The sequence below is a fragment of the Homo sapiens genome, chromosome 6 (assembly GCF_000001405.40).
Source record: "Homo sapiens chromosome 6, GRCh38.p14 Primary Assembly".
Classification (NCBI taxonomy): domain Eukaryota; kingdom Metazoa; phylum Chordata; class Mammalia; order Primates; family Hominidae; genus Homo; species Homo sapiens.
Genome location: NC_000006.12, coordinates 82,205,106 through 82,226,526, shown reverse-complemented (window position 1 = coordinate 82,226,526; position 21,421 = coordinate 82,205,106). Strand labels below are relative to the sequence as shown.

General features: G+C 35.3%; 1 protein-coding gene and 1 pseudogene across 2 annotated transcripts in view; both read left to right on the top strand.

The window, feature by feature from the left end:
• Nucleotides 1-21,421, top strand: part of IBTK (inhibitor of Bruton tyrosine kinase) — a 77,758-nt gene that overhangs the window by 21,218 nt on the left and 35,119 nt on the right. For both annotated transcript variants that reach the window (NM_001300906.2, NM_015525.4), the window contains exons 6-16: nucleotides 880-1,050; nucleotides 2,342-2,459; nucleotides 2,907-3,087; nucleotides 5,814-5,937; nucleotides 8,390-8,567; nucleotides 10,277-10,451; nucleotides 11,698-12,300; nucleotides 13,734-13,820; nucleotides 14,955-15,037; nucleotides 15,123-15,160; nucleotides 15,617-15,713. In NM_001300906.2, coding sequence (NP_001287835.1) covers nucleotides 880-1,050; nucleotides 2,342-2,459; nucleotides 2,907-3,087; nucleotides 5,814-5,937; nucleotides 8,390-8,567; nucleotides 10,277-10,451; nucleotides 11,698-12,300; nucleotides 13,734-13,820; nucleotides 14,955-15,037; nucleotides 15,123-15,160; nucleotides 15,617-15,713 — 1,855 coding nt within the window. The remainder of the gene's footprint in view (nucleotides 1-879; nucleotides 1,051-2,341; nucleotides 2,460-2,906; nucleotides 3,088-5,813; nucleotides 5,938-8,389; nucleotides 8,568-10,276; nucleotides 10,452-11,697; nucleotides 12,301-13,733; nucleotides 13,821-14,954; nucleotides 15,038-15,122; nucleotides 15,161-15,616; nucleotides 15,714-21,421) is intronic.
• RNU6-130P (RNA, U6 small nuclear 130, pseudogene) lies at nucleotides 16,087-16,189 on the top strand (annotated as a pseudogene).

Below are 21,421 nucleotides of genomic sequence, written 5' to 3'. Positions count from 1 at the left end.
TTCTGTGGTCTAAAAATTGAGCCAGTATTTTCATTATGTAGTCACAAAATTTATATTTGTGCTACTGAAACTTAGTGCTAATTAGAAGAGACCTAGTACATTACCTATCAGAAAATTGGTTCACTACGTTATTTTAAGATGTTTTTTGTGGGGACTTCTGATATACTTATCTATTAAATGGTGCTTTTAAAAAGAGGGAAAGCTATAATGATAATAGCTTCCATTTTTGAGGGTTTATTTTGTTCCAAGCATTGTTTATGCTTTTCATATATAATATTACCTTAAGCCTCACAACAGCCCTGTGAGGCACAGGTATTATCTTCATTTTATGCATGATGATGACACTAATAATAGCAATCGTTTATTGACTGATTACTGTTTTCAGATGAAGAAAATGAGGTACAGAGAGGTTAAGAAATTTGATTTGAGATCAAATAGGTAGTGACAGAAGTAAGATTTGAACCCAGGACAGATAAATGACTCCAAAGGAATATGATACTATATGTTTGGCTACTCCCCGAAGGGAAACATTGATTCTGTATTTTTGTTTTTTTTTCAATGTACCCGTGTATACTTTGATGAGCTCCCTTTATTCATACCAAACAAATTTGCACTTGGTAAGGGCTCAAAAATCATTTGTTGAATTGAATTATTTCACTGGAATGTCTTACTGGGCTTATGTATTTTGCTCATAAACTTACAACCATATCCTTTTAAACTCATCTACCCTTTGCTGAAATGTAGAATTTACCTATGATAGATACAGCCATGTATCAGTCATGTCATTTCATGTCATTTTAGATGTAGTATCATCAAATTCTATTTGCATATCTGTATAAATGGTTAATGTAGTATACTAAAGTTAATTTTATTTTGTAGGTCCCTCGGCTTGTGGAAGGACTGAATGGTCATAATTGTTCCCAAGTGGCAGCTGCTAAGGATCATACTGTTGTATTAACTGAAGATGGATGTGTTTATACATTTGGTCTAAACATTTTTCATCAATTAGGAATTATTCCACCGCCTTCCAGTTGTAATGTACCCAGACAGGTAAGCTTTACTCTTTTAAATAATAAGGTTTTACATTTGCAATAAAACCTGTATGAACAAAAAAATGTAAGTTATTGACAGAGCAACTTATTTTATTTCTGTTATTTAACTTTATCTTCAGTGGTATATACTGTCTTTATTATTTATTATTATTATTATTATTTTTTGAGACAGAGTCTTCCTCTGTTGCCCAGGCTGGAGTGCAGTGGTGCGATCTCAGCTGACTGCAACCTCTGCCCCTCGGGTTCAAGCGATTGTCTTGCCTCAGCCTTCTGAGTAGCTGGGATTACAGGCACACACCACCATGCCTGGCTAATTTTTTTTTTTTTTGAGTATTTTTTAGTAGAGAGGGTTTTGTCATGTTGACCAGGCTGGTCTCAAACTCCTGACCTCAGGTGATCTGCCCACCTCGGCCTCCCAAAGTGCTGGGATTACAGGTGTGAGCCACTGCACCCAGCCTGTTGTCTTTATTTTTAACAGGAGAAATTAAGCATAGTACATATTAGCATTTGTTTGGAGTAAGAAAGAAAGCACTTGGGAAATTCTGCACTTGGGAGATTAGCCACCAAACTGCATCTTTTAAGTCTTCATAAGCAAAGGGAGGTCCAGATATTTTGGATTTGAAACTTAAACACTTTTTAGGCCCTCCATAAGAAAAAATATGAAATTTATCAATACCAAATGGGTTCATGCAAGTGAGGAACTCAGAGACTTAAGTTTTATTTGCTTCAGTAAATCTGCCTCTGCACAGATATCACACGTGACAAGTTGATGTTAGGGGACATGGGTCCAAAAACCAGTATTCTTTATTCTACTTTTTTACTCTCATGTGCACAGCCATCTCCAGAAGGTGCACAGTAGTGCACAGGACAATCGCACGACAAAAAAACATCTAGCCCAAAATGTCAATAATGCCACTATTGAGAGACCATGGAAATATCTAATTTAGAAGCACTGTGTTTTCTATTAAGAATGAGACTGGCTGCTTTGCATATTGCTTGTTAGAAAAAGAAAAATAGCTAAAAGTTTAATAATTTGATTCTTACACCATGTCAATTTTCTATATGTTAAAACTGCTGACTGAAAGTGGCTGCATCACAATGTTTTGTGTTCCGAGAAGGATTCAGGTCTTAGTATGAGTGCTGAGATCTGTTAGTGACAACTGCCAATTGCACTTGAGTGGACCACTAACAGCAAGTATACCATATATTTGCTGGTCTGCTGGATCTTTAAAAAATTGTACTAGGTCATAAATATATAGTAAATTGCAGTTTTATTTGTCTTTAAATAGATACAGGCAAAATATCTGAAAGGAAGGACAATCATTGGCGTTGCAGCAGGCAGGTTTCATACAGTCCTATGGACTAGAGAAGCTGTTTACACTATGGGACTAAATGGTGGACAACTGGGTAAGAAATCCTTAATGACAATATCTGGAAATTAAATTGGACTCTTTAAAAAATTATCTTTTCTTTTTAATTTTTATTGATTAGAATGAGATTATGAGTGATTTTTTGTTTGTTTGTTTGAGACAAAGTCTCACTCTGTCATCCTAGCTGGAGTTCAGGGTGCGATCACAGCTCACTGAAACCTTGACTTCCTGGGCTCAAACGATCCTCCCATCTCAGCCCCCCGAATAGCTGGGACCAGAGGCCCCTACCACCATGCTGGGCTATTTTTTGTAGAGATGGGGTTTCACCATGTTGCACAGGCTGGTCTCGAGCTCCAGGGCTCAAGGGATCTGCCCACCTTGGCCTCCCCAAGTGCTGGGATTATAGGCATGAGACACTGTGCTTGGCTAAATAGGACTCTTAAAAGAGCTATTTTGTGATTTGCTTATTTGTATCATTTTTTAGGTTGTTTGCTAGATCCCAATGGAGAAAAGTGTGTAACTGCTCCTCGTCAGGTCTCTGCCCTTCACCATAAAGACATTGCTCTGTCTTTGGTTGCTGCAAGTGATGGAGCTACAGTCTGTGTTACCACAAGGGGAGATATTTACTTACTTGCAGACTATCAGTGCAAGAAGATGGCTTCTAAGTATGTGTATTTCTGTGAAAGAAACGTAATTTTAATAATAATTCAACTCTTCCAGCAAATATCTGAGTGTTAGCTTTATGCTATGTTCTATAAATGTCAAATGGAAAAAATTGAATGAGGAAAAACATCAGGAATTTTTGTCTTTGATTTTTGTCTTTTGGCATGGATCCAGTGAATATATATAAAATTTCTGTGTAAATTGTAAAGTGGTATTTCTGAATTATGTTTAATATGTAGTTAAATATGAGCTATATATTTTTTTCTTTTTTTGTATTTTAGGTGCACAGAAATAGATTAATCATAATTCTTGATTCGTGACACTCTCATCATTGGTTCCTGTATAGCCTTTTTTACATTATACATTTATTTATCTTTAGAATATAATCATATATCATGAGCCCTCTAACCAGGCTTAGTGTTTATAACTGATAAGTATATTTTTTAAAAAAACATGTTATTATAGAATGCAGTAAAGTAGCAGTTGGTTGACTAGTCAAGTCAAAGCAAAGAATCATAAAGTTTTTGTTTTTTTTTTTTTAATTGAGACAGGTTCTTGCTCTGTAGCCCAGGCTAGTCTTGAACTCCTGGGTTCAAGCGTCCCTCCTGTCTCAGCCTCCCAAAGTGCTGGGATTACAGATGTGAGCCACTGCGCCCAGCTTCATAAAGTTTTAAGTATGGGTGGGTGCACCAACTGGAATTCCCTGTGTTTTCATATAAACCATACTCATAATGTGTCACCTGTCATTTCATTTTGAATGATTTAAGGAACCAGTGCTTAAAAACAATTGTGAAGTAATGTAAGTGCAGAATTGTACATTTTTAATACATTTTGAATCTTTTATAATTGATTAATTAGTTTGACAGTTTTTTGCTGCTCATATTTATTGTGCCATTCCAAAGTATTCAACTTCTATAGACAGGTTTCAGACTAATATGTTACCATTTATATAGTATTTTACTGTGATAAATTCATTATAAATATATACATTATTAGTTTAAAAAAATACAAGTACTTAAATAGGTCATTGTACAAATATAAATGATTCTTGAAAGTGGATAGCTCAACTAGTGGGAGCAGTTGTGTACAGGAATTCTGGAGAATAGCTATCTAACTTTTAAAACAATTGGGGATTTAAATTTAAATGCAACAAAATGCTTTTGATAATGTAAAACAGGTACCATCCATGAAGTTACTCATGAGCAGAAAATGTCTATCAATTTGTAAAAACTTACCTTCTTTGAGTAACAATTACTTTTTTTTTTTTTTTTTGAGACATTGTCTTGCTCTGTTGCCCAGGCTGAAGTACAGTGATGTGACCTATGCTCACTGCAACCCCCGCCTCCCAGGTTTTCAAGCAATTCTTCTGCCTCAGCCTCCCGATTAGCTGGAATTACAGGCATCTGCCATCATGCCCAGCTAATTTTTTTTGTATTTTTAGTAGAGATGGGGTTTCTCCATTTTGGCCAGGTTGGTCTCGAACTCCTGACCTCAGGTGATTCGCCCACCTTGGCCTCCCAAAATGCTTGGATTACAGGCGTGAGCCACTGCACCTGGCAGAAAGTTACTTTTGACTTCAATTTTAGGTTATATTTTAGTGATAGAAACATGAAAATGTGAATATGTTTCTTAAAACTGACTAAATAGGTTTTTTCCTGAGTTTGAGGTGATATGTAAGATGTTGAGTTGTATTTTTAGTTAACATTTATAAAACTTGCCTATATAACATTAAATCACATAAATATGTTATATCCAAGAGTACATTAAGGAAATTATTTTGTTACAGATTAAGTTATACAATATAGTAATTTTGAAAATTTTTTTTTCCTTTAATTTAAAAGGGAGGACAGTCATTGGAGTAGCAGCAGGCAGATTTCACATAATGCTATGCACATCAAATGTGCAGATATAATGAAATGTGTAGCTAATGAATGAGTTACTGAATAGCAGTACAGATGATTTTCATGGTAGCAATATCTGTTTAGGATTAGCCATTTTTTAAATTAAGCATTTCTATTTAATTTTGAGGTTTAAAATTTGTCTTTTCTGTTAAAATAGAGATGCACTTAGGAGCTTATAGCCATACCAGTTATTTATTTATTATTTATTTACTTTTTTAAGACAGAGTCTCTCTCTATCACCCAGGCTGGAGTGCACTGGTGTGATCTCTGCTCACTGCAACCTCTGCCTCCTAGGTTCAAGTGATTCTTCTCCCTCACCCTCCCGAGTAGCTGGGACTACAGGGGCGCATCACCATGCCCGGCTGATTTTCGTCTTAGTAGAGCTAGGGTTTTGCTATTTTGGCCAGGCTGGTCTCGAACTTCTGGCCTCAAATGATCCACCGGCCTTGGCCTCCCAAAGTGCTGGGATTACAGGCGGGAGCCACTGCACCCAGCCCATACCAGTTATTTAAACTCCAGAGTGAATGTTTGAATTAGCAGGTGGAACTTCAGGCATTTAATGTGTGTGTGTGTGTGTGTGTGTGTGTGTGTGTGTGTGTGTGTAGGTAAAGTCATTTAAGAGAAAAAGACTTGACATAGAAAGGAACAGCCCCCTTGTAGGGGAAATTTACAGAATGGAAGGCTAGAGATACCAAAGACCAAATCATTTTACTTCACCTTCACAATAATTGCCTATAGATTGTTGTTTGAATACTAACTTCTTTGAAGTTTAGGCATGTGTAGTTTAGAGAACATATTAATCTAGGATTTTTTTTTTTTTCATCTAGACAGTTGAACTTGAAAAAAGTTCTTGTGTCTGGGGGTCATATGGAATACAAGGTTGATCCTGAACATTTGAAAGAAAATGGGGGTCAAAAAATTTGCATTCTTGCAATGGATGGAGCTGGAAGGGTAAGTACATGTTTATGTAAAAGTGTAATCTTACTCTCAGTTGATAGCTGTAGCAGACCTGGTAACATGAAAATGTATTGCTATGTTAGTGACAATTCCTATTGACTTTGATGATTAGTATTGGGTGCCAAAATAAGTATGTTTTAGACATCCATTACTAATTAGTATGGAGGTGGGATTTAGAGAAAGTATGACAGACAGCATTTAATCTAATGTTGCACAATACTGATTTGTTAAACTGTAATCAAAAATTTTATTGTGCTTAAAATGAAAAGAGATTTTGATGTTATTTGGTGTATACACTGAATACTGATAAATGACACTGAATTGCGTAAATATAAGATATGTAATGTAACTATAATTTTATTTATTTATTTTTTTTGAGACAGTCTCGCTCTATTGGCCAGGCTAGAGTACAGTGTCATGATGTCGGCTCATTGCAACCTCCACCTCCTGGGTTCAGGCGATTCTCATGTCTCAGCCTCCTGAGTAGCAGGGATTACAAGCATGTGCCACTACGCCTGGCTTATTTTTGTATTTTTAGTAGAGACGGGGTTTCGCCATGTTAGCCAGGCTGGTCTCAAACTCCTGGCCTCAAGTGATCTGCCCTCCTCAGCCCCACAAAGTACTGGGATTACAGGCATGAGCCACTGCGCCTGGCCTCATGTAACTGTTAAAAAAGTAAAGATCAGGCAATATGATAAATTTGGTGCATAGTTGGAAATTTTTTTCCATATTTAGTTTTATACAAATGTATGCATTATAATATATGTATACATTATAACTATCCACATTATATATGAAATATTTCCGGATCACTAGTGTATAAGGAATTTCTTATCTCTTAAATAAAAAGTTCTAATTTTAGTTCCTTATGCAAACATATCAGTACATTTCTCTAATAAAATTATTAATTTAAAATATTTAAAAAGATTATTTTCTGAAATATATGCTTCAATTAATGTATTTATATATTATATAAAATACATCTCTAAATTGTTTTTGAGGGGTGGGAGGGTGGGAGCCATCTCTAAATAATATATTTAGATTTTAAAAATTATATTTAAAGGTATATATCATACACTAATGATACTGAAAAACACACAGTATGGGTAGAAGAACACAGATAACTTTCTGGTTTTACTTATCAAATTAAAATAATGTTTTCCGAGGTTTATAATGTGCTGTAAAGTTTGACATTTTAGAAATTGAGGAATTAATCATAAAGCTCCACATACTGGGTCATTATAGGCATATATTGTAGGGATGGAGAATGAAGATGATTTTAATAGTAGTAACTAGGTTTAAATATTAGAGCTCTACATCAGGAAGAATAGCTGTTGGATGGTGGGCGTAATACTTGGGTGATGTGATGCTCTGTGCAGCAAACCACCATGGCACACGTTTACCTATGTAACAAACCTACACATCCTGCACATGTACCCCTGAACTTAAAAGTTGAAGGAAAAAAAAAAAGAATTAGAGCTCCAGTTTGTACTAGTGGAAGGAAACAAATGGGGTTACATAAAAGAGTTGAGTATAAAAACTTATATTTGATTTTGGGATGTGTATCACTTACATTGAAATGGATATAGCTTATACTTCTGGATATTTACTTCCTGCAAAATAGAGTCTCATTAAGAAAACCAAGCTCTGAAAGCATCAGTCAGTCTCAATCAGTATAGTCTTTTTGTGTGAATAACTTTTTAGCGACCTTGTCAGATAACCATTTTGTGTTCTAGTTTTCTTAACTTGATTATGAGGGAATTGGACTTTTAAAAATCAGCAGTTCCAATTTTTCAAATGAAATTGTGCTTGGAATACCGGTATATGAAACAGATAAAACAATTGCTACTGTGGATTGGGAAGCCTGACACCCCATCTCTCATCATTCTCCATCCCTTAGCAAGTCCCCTGGAGCTACTTTTCAGGGACTCTGAGGTTTGCAGAACCATTTACAACCATTGAATTCTGTAATGACTTTTCTAAGATTTTGTTTTAGTTATATAATTGAGTTATGCATACATTTACTTTTTTCTTGAGAGTAAAGTTTGGATTTTCATAGGGGGCTCATTCTTCTTGTAAAGAGATAGTACTACAAGAAGCCTGACTTGTAAGTTGTAGCTTTAAGATTTTGTTTTTCTTTAGCATTGTAGCACATCTGTTTGCCCTAAACAGGTAATACTGGAAATTGCTACTTCTTAAGAGGAGTGCCTTTGAAATAATTTCTAATGCTTCAGGCTTGCTTAATATACTTTTCTGAAAGATATTTCTTTAAAATCATCTTGATTTTTCTTATAGTAGCTATCTTTTTCTGTGGAAGAATAAACATTGAAACATACTAATGAGAGCTTTTATTTTAACAGCATTGTCTCTTGATATCTTGATTTAAGGTTTTGGTTGTTCAAATGCTACTTGCTTTATATTTCAATGTGATTTGGTTTTGTTTTAGGTGTTTTGCTGGAGATCAGTCAACAGTTCTCTGAAGCAGTGTCGATGGGCCTATCCACGTCAGGTCTTCATTTCTGATATTGCTTTAAATAGAAATGAAATTCTATTTGTTACGCAAGATGGAGAAGGATTTAGAGGGAGATGGTTTGAAGAGAAAAGAAAGAGTTCTGAAAAGAAAGGTCAGTTCATATATTGAACAATACGTAAAAGTACCTTTCAATTATCCTTTAATTTGACAAGTATTAGGTTCAACTGACAAGTGTTATTAGGTTTTACTTTTATGTATTTATCTTTGTGATTAGTTTTTTAATGCCTGTTTCCTATTAGAGTGTAAGGTTAGTGATGGCAAGGGCCATGAATATTCGTCTATATCCTTAGCCTTTGGCATATTTCCTGGCGCATTGTAGTCACTCATTAAATCACCTGTTGTATGAATAACTCAGTTATTGTGTGCCAGAACAAAATCAAGAATGTTTATAATTACTCAGAAAATTATAAACGTATTCTTCAAAATCATAAAGCCACAGATAAATGACTTTTGTAAAATTTAATGATTTACTTGTATTTCTTTTATTTCTTTATAGATTATTCAAGTCTGTAAACATTTAATATATATTTACTATGTGCCAGATATAGGGGAAAGTTTTAAAGATGCAAGAATATATAAAATGGGCCTCTATACTGAGGCACTCATAGGCTTGTAGGGGCAATAGACATGTATGTAAATATTTGCAGTTCACTGAGACTAATGTTAATATCCACATAATAAGTTTCTTGAGAGCATAGAAATTGGAATGACTGAGTGTCAGAGAAGATTAGTAAAGCCTCATAAGACTAAAATAGAGTTAATTTGTGGGAGTAACTAGAACGTAGGTTCAACTTATGGAAGTCTTTAGAAGTGTGTCTTAGTCATATTTAGTGATCTGAAACTGAATTCATGATTTCATGCTCTAACTTCTGCTTCTCAGTGTTTTCTATTTCTGTAAATTATTATCTTTGACACTCAGATTCCCTTACACTAGAATTAATCAGTCATCAAGTTTTGTTCTCTTTCTCAAATGTTTCTTATATCTTTCCACTTTTTTCCAGATTCATTGCTACAACCTAGTCTATATCATCTTTTAATTCTTTTCCTGGATTTACAGTAATTCCTTAAATGGCCTCTTTTTATCTATTCTTTGTTTACCTTAAACATTCTTCACACTACAACCAGAATCATTTCATTCATGTAAATTTCATATCTTTGTGGAAGCACTATATCCTTTACCTTCATAGCCTTGATTTTACTTGTAATGATATAATCATTTGTGTAATGTCTGTCTTCCCTGCTAGATTGTGTACTCGAGGAGAGCAGGCACATGTCTGTCTTCTTCACTACTATATCACCAGACTGATGATATCATAGTAGCCCAGTTTGGTTACGCACATATTTTCTGAATACATGCAAGAAAGGGGGAAGAGAAAGGGAGGAAGCAAATAAACAAGCAGATTATGAAGACAGTAGATTTATATATTTTTAATCCAAGTTGAAGAATTTTTTTCCCTTTGGGCAACAGGAAGTATAAGTTGAAAAGTTTTAAAAGCTAGTATGACACTAGATTTGCTTTTTAGAAAGGGAACTTTGGTTGCAGTATGGAGGATGTGTTTGTTGAAAGAGATGGAATCATGGATAATTGAGAATCCATCCACCAAAAATTTCCTGTATAATACAGCCAATATATTCAGTGGAAAATGTGTTGAAGAGAGGATGTAGTTCTTCAAAAACACTGAATATATGTGAAAAAGATTTCCATATTTTTCTAACTCCTTTTCTATTCCATTTACTTCTCAATCATTTTAGTAGTTTCAGTAAAGCCTTGATTAATGGTAGTTTATTTTTTTTTAACAGAGATTTTATCAAACCTTCACAATTCCTCATCAGATGTGTCTTATGTCTCTGATATAAATAGTGTGTATGAAAGAATTCGACTTGAGAAACTTACCTTTGCACATAGAGCTGTTAGTGTCAGCACAGATCCAAGTGGATGCAACTTTGCAATCCTGCAGTCAGATCCTAAAACAAGGTATACTTGTATATATTAAATTTCATTTTTTAGAAGGAACAATCACTGAATTTTCTTGTTTTCAGTAGCTGCTGGTGCAAATTTAATTGAAGAGCTGTTGCCAAGACCTATAGAGACCTTAGACATAATCATGTTTACAGATTATGTCTACAGATAATCCAGAGGTAGAATTTGTTATACTTGGAGTGATGAATGTTTCCTTTGGTTTATAAACTGACATTTATTGAAAATATTGAAAATATCTATACATGCACTCACAAAGTTTATTGTCTTTCTTTTTTTTTTTTTTTTTTTTGAGATGGAGTCTTGCTCTATTGCCCAGGCTAAGTGGCAAAATCTCGGCTCACTCTAACCTCCACCTCCCAGGATGAAGCAGTTCTCTTGCCTCAGCCTCCCAAGTAGTTGGGATTACAGGTGCCCGCCACCACACCCAGCTAATTTTTGTATTTTTAGTAGAGATGGGGTTTTGCCCTGTTGGCCAGGCTGGTCTTGACCACCTGACCTCAGGTGATCCGCCAGCCTCGGCCTCCCAAAGTGCTAGGATTACAGGCATGAGCCACCGCACCCTGCCTTATTTGTCTTTCATACTGTATGATGTACCCTGGGTTCTCAGATTCTGAAAAATGTATTATAAATATTTCTTAGGCAGTTTGCAAAGATTTCTGACCCTTGAATATGATGAGAATTGGCAAAATAAGTGTTGTGGCGCCATCTGTAAATCGCAATGCAAATCTCCTAAGTCACATAAGCAGAGAGGTATCAGATTAAGATAAACATCAAGGGTACTGTTGAAGAGGGAGGAAATTCTGCAAGTAGGGTCATCATCCATCCTGGTTTGCCCAGGCCTGCCCCAGTTTTAACATTGAAAGTCTCATCTGAGAAACTCGTCAGTCCAAGGCAAACCACAGGAGGGTTGGTCTTCCTACTGAGAAGGGTGAAATGTTGGTTGGGAAGGTGTAATTGCATTCCCACAGTACTGTAAGAACCAGGGATACGGACAACTTAGTTCTTATCATTTTAATTTGAGAGAAGAATAGAATATAAATATAAAAAGGAATAGAAAAAAATTAAAGGATGATATAGCATCTAGGACTTTGTGCAATATTCTTGTATTTTAGGAAATGCCAAATTTAAAATTTTCTAAATATTGTTAAAAAAATTGCATTTTAAAGGAGAATTGGCTAGGTATGAAAAAGGATTTCCTTCATATTTTTTGAAGCATAATTTGTTTTTGTCTTCTTTCTAGCCTTTATGAAATTCCAGCTGTGTCCTCATCATCCTTTTTTGAAGAGTTTGGCAAACTGTTGAGGGAAGCAGATGAAATGGACAGCATTCATGATGTGACATTTCAAGTTGGCAATAGACTCTTCCCTGCACATAAATATATTTTGGCAGTGCATTCTGATTTTTTTCAGAAATTGTTTCTTTCAGATGGTAATACTTCAGAATTTACAGATATTTACCAGAAAGATGAAGATTCTGCAGGGTGCCATCTCTTTGTGGTAGAGAAGGTTCATCCTGACATGTTTGAATACCTTTTACAATTTATATACACAGATACTTGTGACTTTTTAACTCATGGCTTCAAACCAAGAATACACTTAAACAAAAACCCAGAAGAATATCAGGGAACTCTGAATTCTCATTTGAATAAAGTGAATTTCCATGAAGATGATAACCAGAAGTCTGCATTTGAAGTTTACAAAAGTAATCAAGCTCAAACAGTTAGTGAGAGGCAGAAGAGCAAACCTAAATCTTGTAAAAAAGGAAAAAATATTAGGGAAGATGATCCTGTAAGAATGTTGCAAACTGTTGCAAAGAAATTCGACTTCAGTAATTTGAGTAGTAGGTATGATTTCTCTTTTATATCTGTTCCTGTACCTCATTCAGTCCTCCTTTAAAAAATTTCCCACCCTTACTGTGAAACCCCATCTCTACTAAAAATACAAAAAATTAGCCGGGTGTGGTGGCGGGCGCCTGTAGTCCCAGCTACTCAGGAGGCTGAGGCAGGAGAATGGCCTGAACCCGGGAGGCGGAGCTTGCAGTGAGCCGAGATTGCGCCACTGCATTCCAGCCTGGGCGACAGAGCGAGACTGTGTCTCAAAGAAAAAAAAAAAAATCCCACCCTTTTTGCCTTGCTTTGCTTTTCTTTCCCCTCCCCAAGTCTCCTCCCACTTGTTCCATCCCCTTCTCTTTCTCCTTCCCCTCCTCTTCCTCTCTCTCCCTTTCTCCCTACCCATCCTTTTTTTGGGGAGGTACATGGATATGTCTTTCCTCCATTTGCGGGCAGAGCTATCTCTGGGACTTCTTGGATTACATTAATGGATAGGAAAGCTGTTGGTGGGTTTGAACTCTGGTTTGTGTATGTAACAGGGATCTGGAGTGGCAGGCAATGTGGTATGCTGGAAAGGTCTTTCAAGTTAGACATACATATCTCTTAGCTTTACTATTCCTGGCTGGGACAATTTTCTTTTACCTCAGTTTCTCGAACTCCTGGGCTCAAGCGATCCTTCTTACTTCAGTTTCTCAATATAAGAAATGGGAAAGATAATATTTGCCTCATATTGTTGATATGGTTTTGTCATATGTAAATTGCCTAACACCATAGTATCATATTATGAATCAGATTATTTGAAATTCTTTCTTTTTTTAAGGTATTTATGTTGCTTGTGGCAGTTAAACCTTCGTTGTAGGGTGGGAAGAGAGGAGGGGTGTGTATCGTGTTTCCTGTTTAAAAATAATGAAGGGGCCGGGCGCGGTGGCTCACGCCTGTAATCCCAGCACTTTGGGAGGCTGAGGTGGGCAGATCTCCTGAGGTCAGGAGTTTGAGACCAAGCTGGCCAACATGGCGAAACCCTGTCTCTACAAAAAATTACAAAAATTAGCCGGGAATGGTGGTGAATGCCTGTAGTCCCAGTTACTGGGTTGGCTGAGGCAGGAGATTCATGTGAACCTGGGAGGTGGAGGTTGCAGTGAACTAAGATCATGCCACCACACTCTAGCCTGGGCAACAGAGCGAGGCTTCGTCTCAAAAAAAAAAAAGGAAAAACTTTGTGCTATGGCTTTGATTTGTCTTTTGTCAGTAATGTTTAATCTATTTTGAATTCTAACTAAAATGGAAGAAAAAGTATGATATTTCTTTATCTCAGAGTAGGAGTTTGTTGAGATACTTTTCTAGGATACAGTATTATATTTAGATGTAAGCTAATTTGTTGGATTTTTTGTTGTATGTTTATTTTTGTAGGGGAATATCAATTGTTAATTTTTATCTATCCTTGATAGGTTAGATGGAGTCAGATTTGAAAATGAAAAAATTAATGTTATTGCCAAGAACACTGGTAATAAACTGAAGCTAAGTCAGAAAAAATGGTAAGTAAGGAAAGGAAGATTAACATTTCATGTCTGGATTTTGGCACTTAAGTGTGGAAATAGATCTCTGCTTACCCACATATGAAGCAAAATGTATAGGTAGATACCCTCTTACCTTTTCTAGTATTCTGCATTTCTGGAAATGTTGGGGAGCTGTTGAAGTAAATTGATAAAATATTAACTGCTGAAGACATCAAAGGAGTTTTTTCTTTCCGATGACTTTCTAATAGAGAGTGGAACTTTTAATTTTTATTTTTTCTTGCCTGAATTTTGTGCCTTGTTATAATTAGGAAATGTTATTAGCCCCCAAACCAATTAATTATACCTCTTCATCATTGTTATGATTATTGCCTTTAGTATAAAAAATTCTTAGTAATAAATATACTATTCTAAATATATTGTTAAAAAGTTTTGTTTTTAGGGCCTGGTGTGGTGGCTCACGCCTGTAATCTCAGCACTTTGGGGGGCCGAGGCAGGTGGATCACCTGAGGTCAAGAGCCTGATTAACATGGTGAAATCCTGTCTCTACGAAGAAAATACAAAAATTAGCCGGGCATAGTGGCGGGTGCCTGTGATCCCAGCCACTTGGGAGGCTGAGGCAGGAGAATCACTTGTACTCGGGAGGCGGAGGTTGCAGTGAGACAAGATTGCACCATTGCACTCCAGCCTGGGTGGCAGAACGAGACCCCGTTTCAAAGAAAAAAAAAGTTTTGTTTTTAGCTATTCATGCTTCCTCTGTAAGTGAAAAGGTTTTGGAGAAGGATAAACTGTGGAGTTGTTTCAACTGTGCTTGGCCCAGATTAGCTACTACAAATAAGTGAATTACAGAGACTTAAATATGATATCACTTAGTATTATATTATTAACAGTTTTTCTGGAATAAAAAAAAGGAAAATCAGAAAAATACTTTTTGAATATTTGTATTCGGCTCCCTTTTCAAATATTGTCTTTACTCTAAGGCCCTTATCTTCCCTGTGGTGGAAAAAGATGAAGTATTTTATTGTATGTATTCCTGCAAGTTATTTATTCTCTGCCACCTTTAAGAGAAAACTGAAAGTTAAGCCAAATCCTATAATCTTTTTCACTAAATATGTAAAGAAATTGCTCTTGCTTCAATTAAACATTTTCTTGCAGTTCATTTCTGTGTGACGTGACCATGAAATCAGTGGATGGAAAGGAATTTCCTTGTCATAAATGTGTTCTTTGTGCTAGACTTGGTAGGTGCACTTTTTAAAGCTGCTGATTTATTTGCTGTAGTATTGTTTCACTATTCTTATTGCATTGAACTTTTTTTTCTTTTAGAATATTTTCATAGTATGCTGAGTAGCTCATGGATTGAGGTAAGATTTAAGTAAAAAGCGCCTAGGTTGGTAACTATGTTTCTTTATATTTTGTGCAAAGTATGTAGTAAAGAAATTCAAAATCAGAACTGGATATTTTAGCTCAGTTTTTCATTTATATTAAACTTTATGCTTGAGGCTGCTGGAAAATAGCAACACTTAGAATTTAAAATTATTGCCAAGAAGCTACTTAAATAAAAATTTCCCCGTTATTATTTAGAAATGTATTAGGAACACCACTGTGTTTCTTGTTTTCTGAATTTTTTTGTTCCTTTTTCATGTTATGTTTTAAAATTAAATTTAATATTATTTTAGCCATGTGTTTTGTAAATTTTATGTTTTGCATTTGATGTGATTTCCTGTTCAGAGTGTTTTGTACCAATAACCCAAATTAGAATGTAATATTTTATTGTTTAGAATGAATTATTTTACTTTATTTTGTCTTATTTTATTTAGGCTTCCAGTTGTGCAGCTCTGGAAATGCCAATACATTCTGATATATTAAAAGTTATTTTGGACTACCTCTATACTGATGAAGCTGTGGTGATAAAAGGTATTAATAAGAGTTAGGACATTGTAGATACTTCACATATAATGGAATAATGGTAAAATCAACGTGAATCTTAATTTCTAATAGAAAAAAACCATCAATAAAGGCTTAATTTATTTTATTTTTAAAATATTTAATTTATTTTTTATTATTTATGGAGACCGGGGTCTTACTATGTTGCCCAGGCTAGTCTCAAACTCCTAGGCTCAAGGGATTATTCCACCTCGGCCTTCCAAAGTGCTAGGATTATAGCGTGAGCCACTATGCCTGGCCAATAAAGGCTTAATTTAGAATAAGCAATAGGAATGATTGCTAATAGTAAAGGAGCAGAAAAAGGTTTTCATTACCCATGTGAAAATGAACTCTTTGAGAATTAGTGCTTGCTTCGGCAGCAAGTATACTAAAACTGGAATGATACAGAGATTACATGGCCCCTGTACAAGAATGACACGCAAATTTGTGAAGCGTTTCATTAAAAAAAAAAAAAAAGGAATTGTAGGTAATGGTTGAAATTAGATTCAGCAGTTCAATTTCCAGCTACTTCTATGATGGAGATGAATGAATTGACAACAGGGATAGTTTTGACAAATACTTACATAAGTTCTTTCTTACCTGTTTTTCCCCTTTGTGGTTACACATCTTGAAAGAAACAGATTAAAAATTGTACCAAAATTTATGAAGAGAGGTCATTTATGTACTTTGTTAGGCAAAACAGTAACTTTTAGTTACAAGATATGTTTACTCATTGGAATGGTACTGGATGTTCTGTCATATTCCATTAGTTTTTTTTAACCCCAGCTGTATACTGGGGATAAAAATAAGTGGATAGACCTTTTTTTATATTCAAGAAACTCAATCTAGTGGAGAAGACAAATGTATAAGAAAACAAATATAATCCAACAGAGTAATTCTCTAAAAAGCAGATGCATTTTTAAGAAGCTAGCCTCTGAGTCTGCCTAGGAAATCTGGGTAGTCTTGTAAGGAGATAGAGTTTAACTGAGGACAAAATTTCTGAAGATTTGTATACTTGAGAGTAAGATAACTGAGACATGGTATGTTTTTCTCTACTTTCATTCTTTTTAAAAATCGAGAAATTATTTGCATGATAAAACTTATACTTTTAAAGCATACAATAAGTAGTTTTTAGTATGTTTATGAATTTGTGCAACTATCATCACTGTATAATTCTAGAACATTTTCATCACCCCAGAAAGATACCTTGTACCCATTAGCAGACACTTCCCACTCTCTCTTATCCCCAGTCCGTGGAAAACCCCTATTATGTTTTCTGTCTCTATGGATTTGCCTCTTCTGGACATTTTGTATAAATACAATCAAACAACATGTGACCTTTTATATTTAACTTATTTTACTTAAGTACGATGTTTTAAAAATTTATCTGTGTTGTAGCAGGTACCAACACTTCATTGTTTTTTATTGCCAAATAATATTTATTGTGTGGATATAACACATTTATTCATCAGTTGATGGATGTTGGGGTTGTTTTTACCTCTTGTCTATTAGGAATCATGCTGCTGTGAACACTCATGCCTAAGTTTTTGCGTGGGCCTATGTTTTCATTTTTCTTGGGCATATACCTAGAAGCGGAAATGCTGGGTCATCTGTTTAATTTTTTAGGAACTGCCGAACTGCACAGTGGCTAGCTGTACCATTTAACTTAACCACTAACAGTGTGAGGGTTCCAGTTTCTCCACATCCTTGCAAGCACTTACTAATATCAACCTTTTTTATTATAGCCATCCTAACGGGTGTGAAGTTATGCAACATTGTGGTTTTGATTTGTATTTCACTAATGACTAATGATGTTGAACATCTTTTCATATGCTTTTTGGTCATTTGTATATCTTCTTTGAATACATACTCAAATCCTTTGGACACTTTTTTTCTCAATTATTTGTTTTTTTATAATGTTGCAAGAGTTCTTTATATATTCTGGATATTAGTCCCTTATGGGATATATGATTTGCAAGTATTTTCTCTCCTTCTCTGAGTTGTTTTCACTTCCTTGATGAAGTGTCGTTTAAAACAAAAACTTAATTTTTTTTTATTTTTGAGACAGGGTCTTATTCCATTGGGCAAGCTGGAGTGCAGTGGCATGGTCATGGCTCACTGCAGCCTCGGCGTCCTGAGCTCAAGTGATCCTTCCCACCTCAGCCTCCCAAGTAACTGGGACTACAGCTGTGCACCACCATGCCTGGTTAATTTGTAAAAATTTTTTTAGAGACAGAGCCTCCCTATATTGCCCAGGCTGGTCTGGAACTCCTGGGCTCAAGTGATCCTCCTGCCTCAGCCTCCCAAAGTGCTGGGATTACAGGCATTTCATGATGTCCAAATTGTCTATGTTGACTTGTTACTTGTGTTTTTGGTGTCATATCTAGGAATTCGTTGTCAAATCCAAGGTCATGATGATTACCCTGTATGTTTTCTTCTAAGAGTTTTATAGTTCTGTCTCTCACATGTAGGTCTTTGATCCATTTTGAGTTAATTCCCCCCCCAGTCGTATTAAGGTGTAATTAACAAGTAAAAATTATATGTAGTCATAGTGTATAACATGATGCTTTGAGATATATATATGTATAATATCTATATTTATATATATAGAGAGAGATAATTACCACAATCAAGCTAATTAACATAACCGTCACCTCACATAATTACCTTTTTTTTTTTTTTGTGGTGAGAGTACTTGAGATCTAGTCCTTCAGCAAATCTCAAGTATGCAGTACATTATTATCAGTGTAGTGGCCATGCTGTATATAAGGTCTCTAGATCTTATTCATTCATCTTATAACTGTAATTTTGTACTCTTTGACCAATATCTTCCCATTACCCTAATCCCCTGACCTCTAGTAACCACCATTCTTATTAAGTTATTTTTTGTATTTGTTGTGAGCTATGGGTCCAAGTTTATTCTTTTACATCTGTATGTCCTATTTTTTGAGTACCATTTGTTGAAAAGACATTTGTTTTCCCATTGAATTGTTTTAGCACCTTTGTCAAAAATCAACTGACAATAAATTTAAAGTTTTATTTCTGTACTCTTCAGTTCTATTTCACTGAACTCTCTTTATGCCAGTACAGCAGTGTCTTGATTACCATTGCTTTGTTGTAAGTTGTGAAATTGGGAAATGTGAGTTTTCCTACTGTGTTCTGCTATTTCAAGATTGTATTGGCTATTTTGGGTTTCTTGCATTTTCATGTGAATTTTAGGATTAGTTTGCCAATTTCTGCAATAAAGGCAGCTGGGATTTTAATACAAATCACATTTAATTTGTAGATCAGCTTGAGGATTATTGTCATTTTAATATTTAAATCTTATAATCCATTAACACCAGCTGTCTTTCCATTTATTTAAGTCTATATATTTAAGTCTTTAATTTCTTTCAATGATTTTTGTAGTTTTCAGTGTACAAGCCTTGCTCTTTCTTAGTTAAAAATTATTAAGAATTTTTAGTGCTATTTTAAATGGAAATTTTTTTAATTTTATTTTTGGATTGTCCTTTGCTAGTGTTTAGAATTACAATTGATTTTTGTATATTGATCTTATATCCTGCAACCTTGCTGAACTTGTTCACTAATTCTAGTAGTTTTTTTAGTGGATTCCTTAGGATTTTCTATATGCAAGATCATGTCATCTGCAAATAGAGATGGTTTTACTTATGCCTTTCCAATTTGGGTGTGCTTTATTTCTTTTTCTTGCTTAATTGCCCTGATTAGATGAATCTCTAGTACTCTGTTGAATAGAAGTGGCAACAGTGGTTGTCCTTGTCTTGTTTCTGATGTTAGGAAAAAGCATTCAGCCTTTTTACCATTAATTAGGATGTTACTTGTGGGTTTTTTGTAGTTGCCATTTATCAGGTTGAGGAAGATTATTTCTATTCCTGGTTTATTGAGTGTTTTTATCATGAAAGGGTGTGGGATTTTTGTCAAATGTTTTTCTGTTTCTTAAGATGGCCGTGTGTTTATTATACTTTATTTTTGTGTATTATATTGATTGATTTTTCATATGTTGAATCATCCTTTCGTTTTGGATTTATTCTGTTAGGTCATGTTGTATAATTCCTTTTTATATGTTACTGGATTTAGTTTCTTAGCGTTTTTTGAGGATTTTTGCATCTTTAATTGTAAGGGATATTGGTTTAGTTTTCCTGTGATGTCCCTGTCTGTTTTTAGAATCAGCATAATATTGGCCTCCTTGTCTGAGTTGGGAAGTGTTCTTCATCTTCTACTTTTTGAAGAGTTTGTGGAGAATTGTATCAATTTATCTTGTATTAATTCATCAATTGTATTATTCATCTTTAAATATTCAGTCAGATTAACCAATTAAGCCATCTGGTCCTGGACTCTTCTTTGTAGGAAGTTTTTTGATCACTAATTCAATATCTTTACTTTACTTATTGCTAATTGTTTGCCCCCGTATAAAAGGCTGTTGTCACTGGGCAAGCTTTATGTCAGGTCAAATAAAGATAAGCATTCTAGTGGGATTTTCAGAGAACTAGCAGACAGGTCAAATAAGGATACTATTGCTCTACAACTGTTCTGTCTCCTGTGGCTACTAGGCTGTCAATGTGATTCCCTGTGATTATGGAGCTGTTGGTTTCAGTACTGCTGTGGAGGAGGGGAGAGGAAGATCTGAACAGGAAAGGCTGCAGTGTCCTGAATCCCACTGTTCTTAACAAGATTCAACTGCTTTTCTTAAGTAAACACTTCCTAGATTATTATAAGCTTTTGGCTGATTTCCAGAATTCTGGAAAAGTTGATTATGACAATTTTCCACAGTTGTCTGTTTTTTTTTAGAGGAGAGGATTAGAAGCTCTTAGTCTGTCATTCCTAGTGACTTCATCTTTGTCTCATATTTTAAAGCTGTTTTCTGTGTCAGATTTTTTTCTTCTTAATCTTTTTTTCCCTTTCCTCTCTTCCTCTGTTATTTTTTTCTTTCAATTTATGTTGTTATTTTGGCAGTGGCTCAGGGGCAAAAAGCCATTAGTAGTACTGAGGACCAAGAAAGTTGTTTTATTTTTTATTTTTTTGAGATGGAGTCTCACTCTGTTGCCCAGGCTGGAGTGCAGTGGCGTGATCTCGTCTCATTGCAACCTCTGCCTCCCATGTTCAAGCAATTCTCGTGCCTCAGCCTCCCCGGTAACTGGGACTACAGGCATGTGCCACCACGCCCTGCTAATGTGTGTATTTTTAGTAGAGATATGTTCACCATGTTGGCCAGGCTGGTCTCAAACTCCTGGTCTTAAGTGGTCGGTCTGCCTCCACCTCCCATAGTGCTGGGATTACAGGCGTGAGCCACCACACCTGGCCCAAGAAAGTTGTTTTAAATTAAGGAAGTCCAATAGTTACAAAAAAGCACTCTTAGATGACAAATTTTGTTTTAAATAAGAAAGCATAAGAGCATTATTTCCCCACCCTTTATATATTAAGTGTGATGCTGAGATTTGACTTTTCCCTCTTTGTATTAGCTTGAGAAGTGTTTTTCTAACAACATGGGAGATTATAAACAAGTCAGGCATTCTAGTGGGCTTCTAGACTGAAATGATCAATTTAAGTTGGCCATTTTATGGTCCTAGTGTGAGATCAAGACATTTTGGTGTAATTTTGTCAGCTTTCTACCTAAAAAATAGAAATATATTTTGATGTATTTACTTTTTATTATGGTTGCCCTTTCAACATTTAGAAAATAA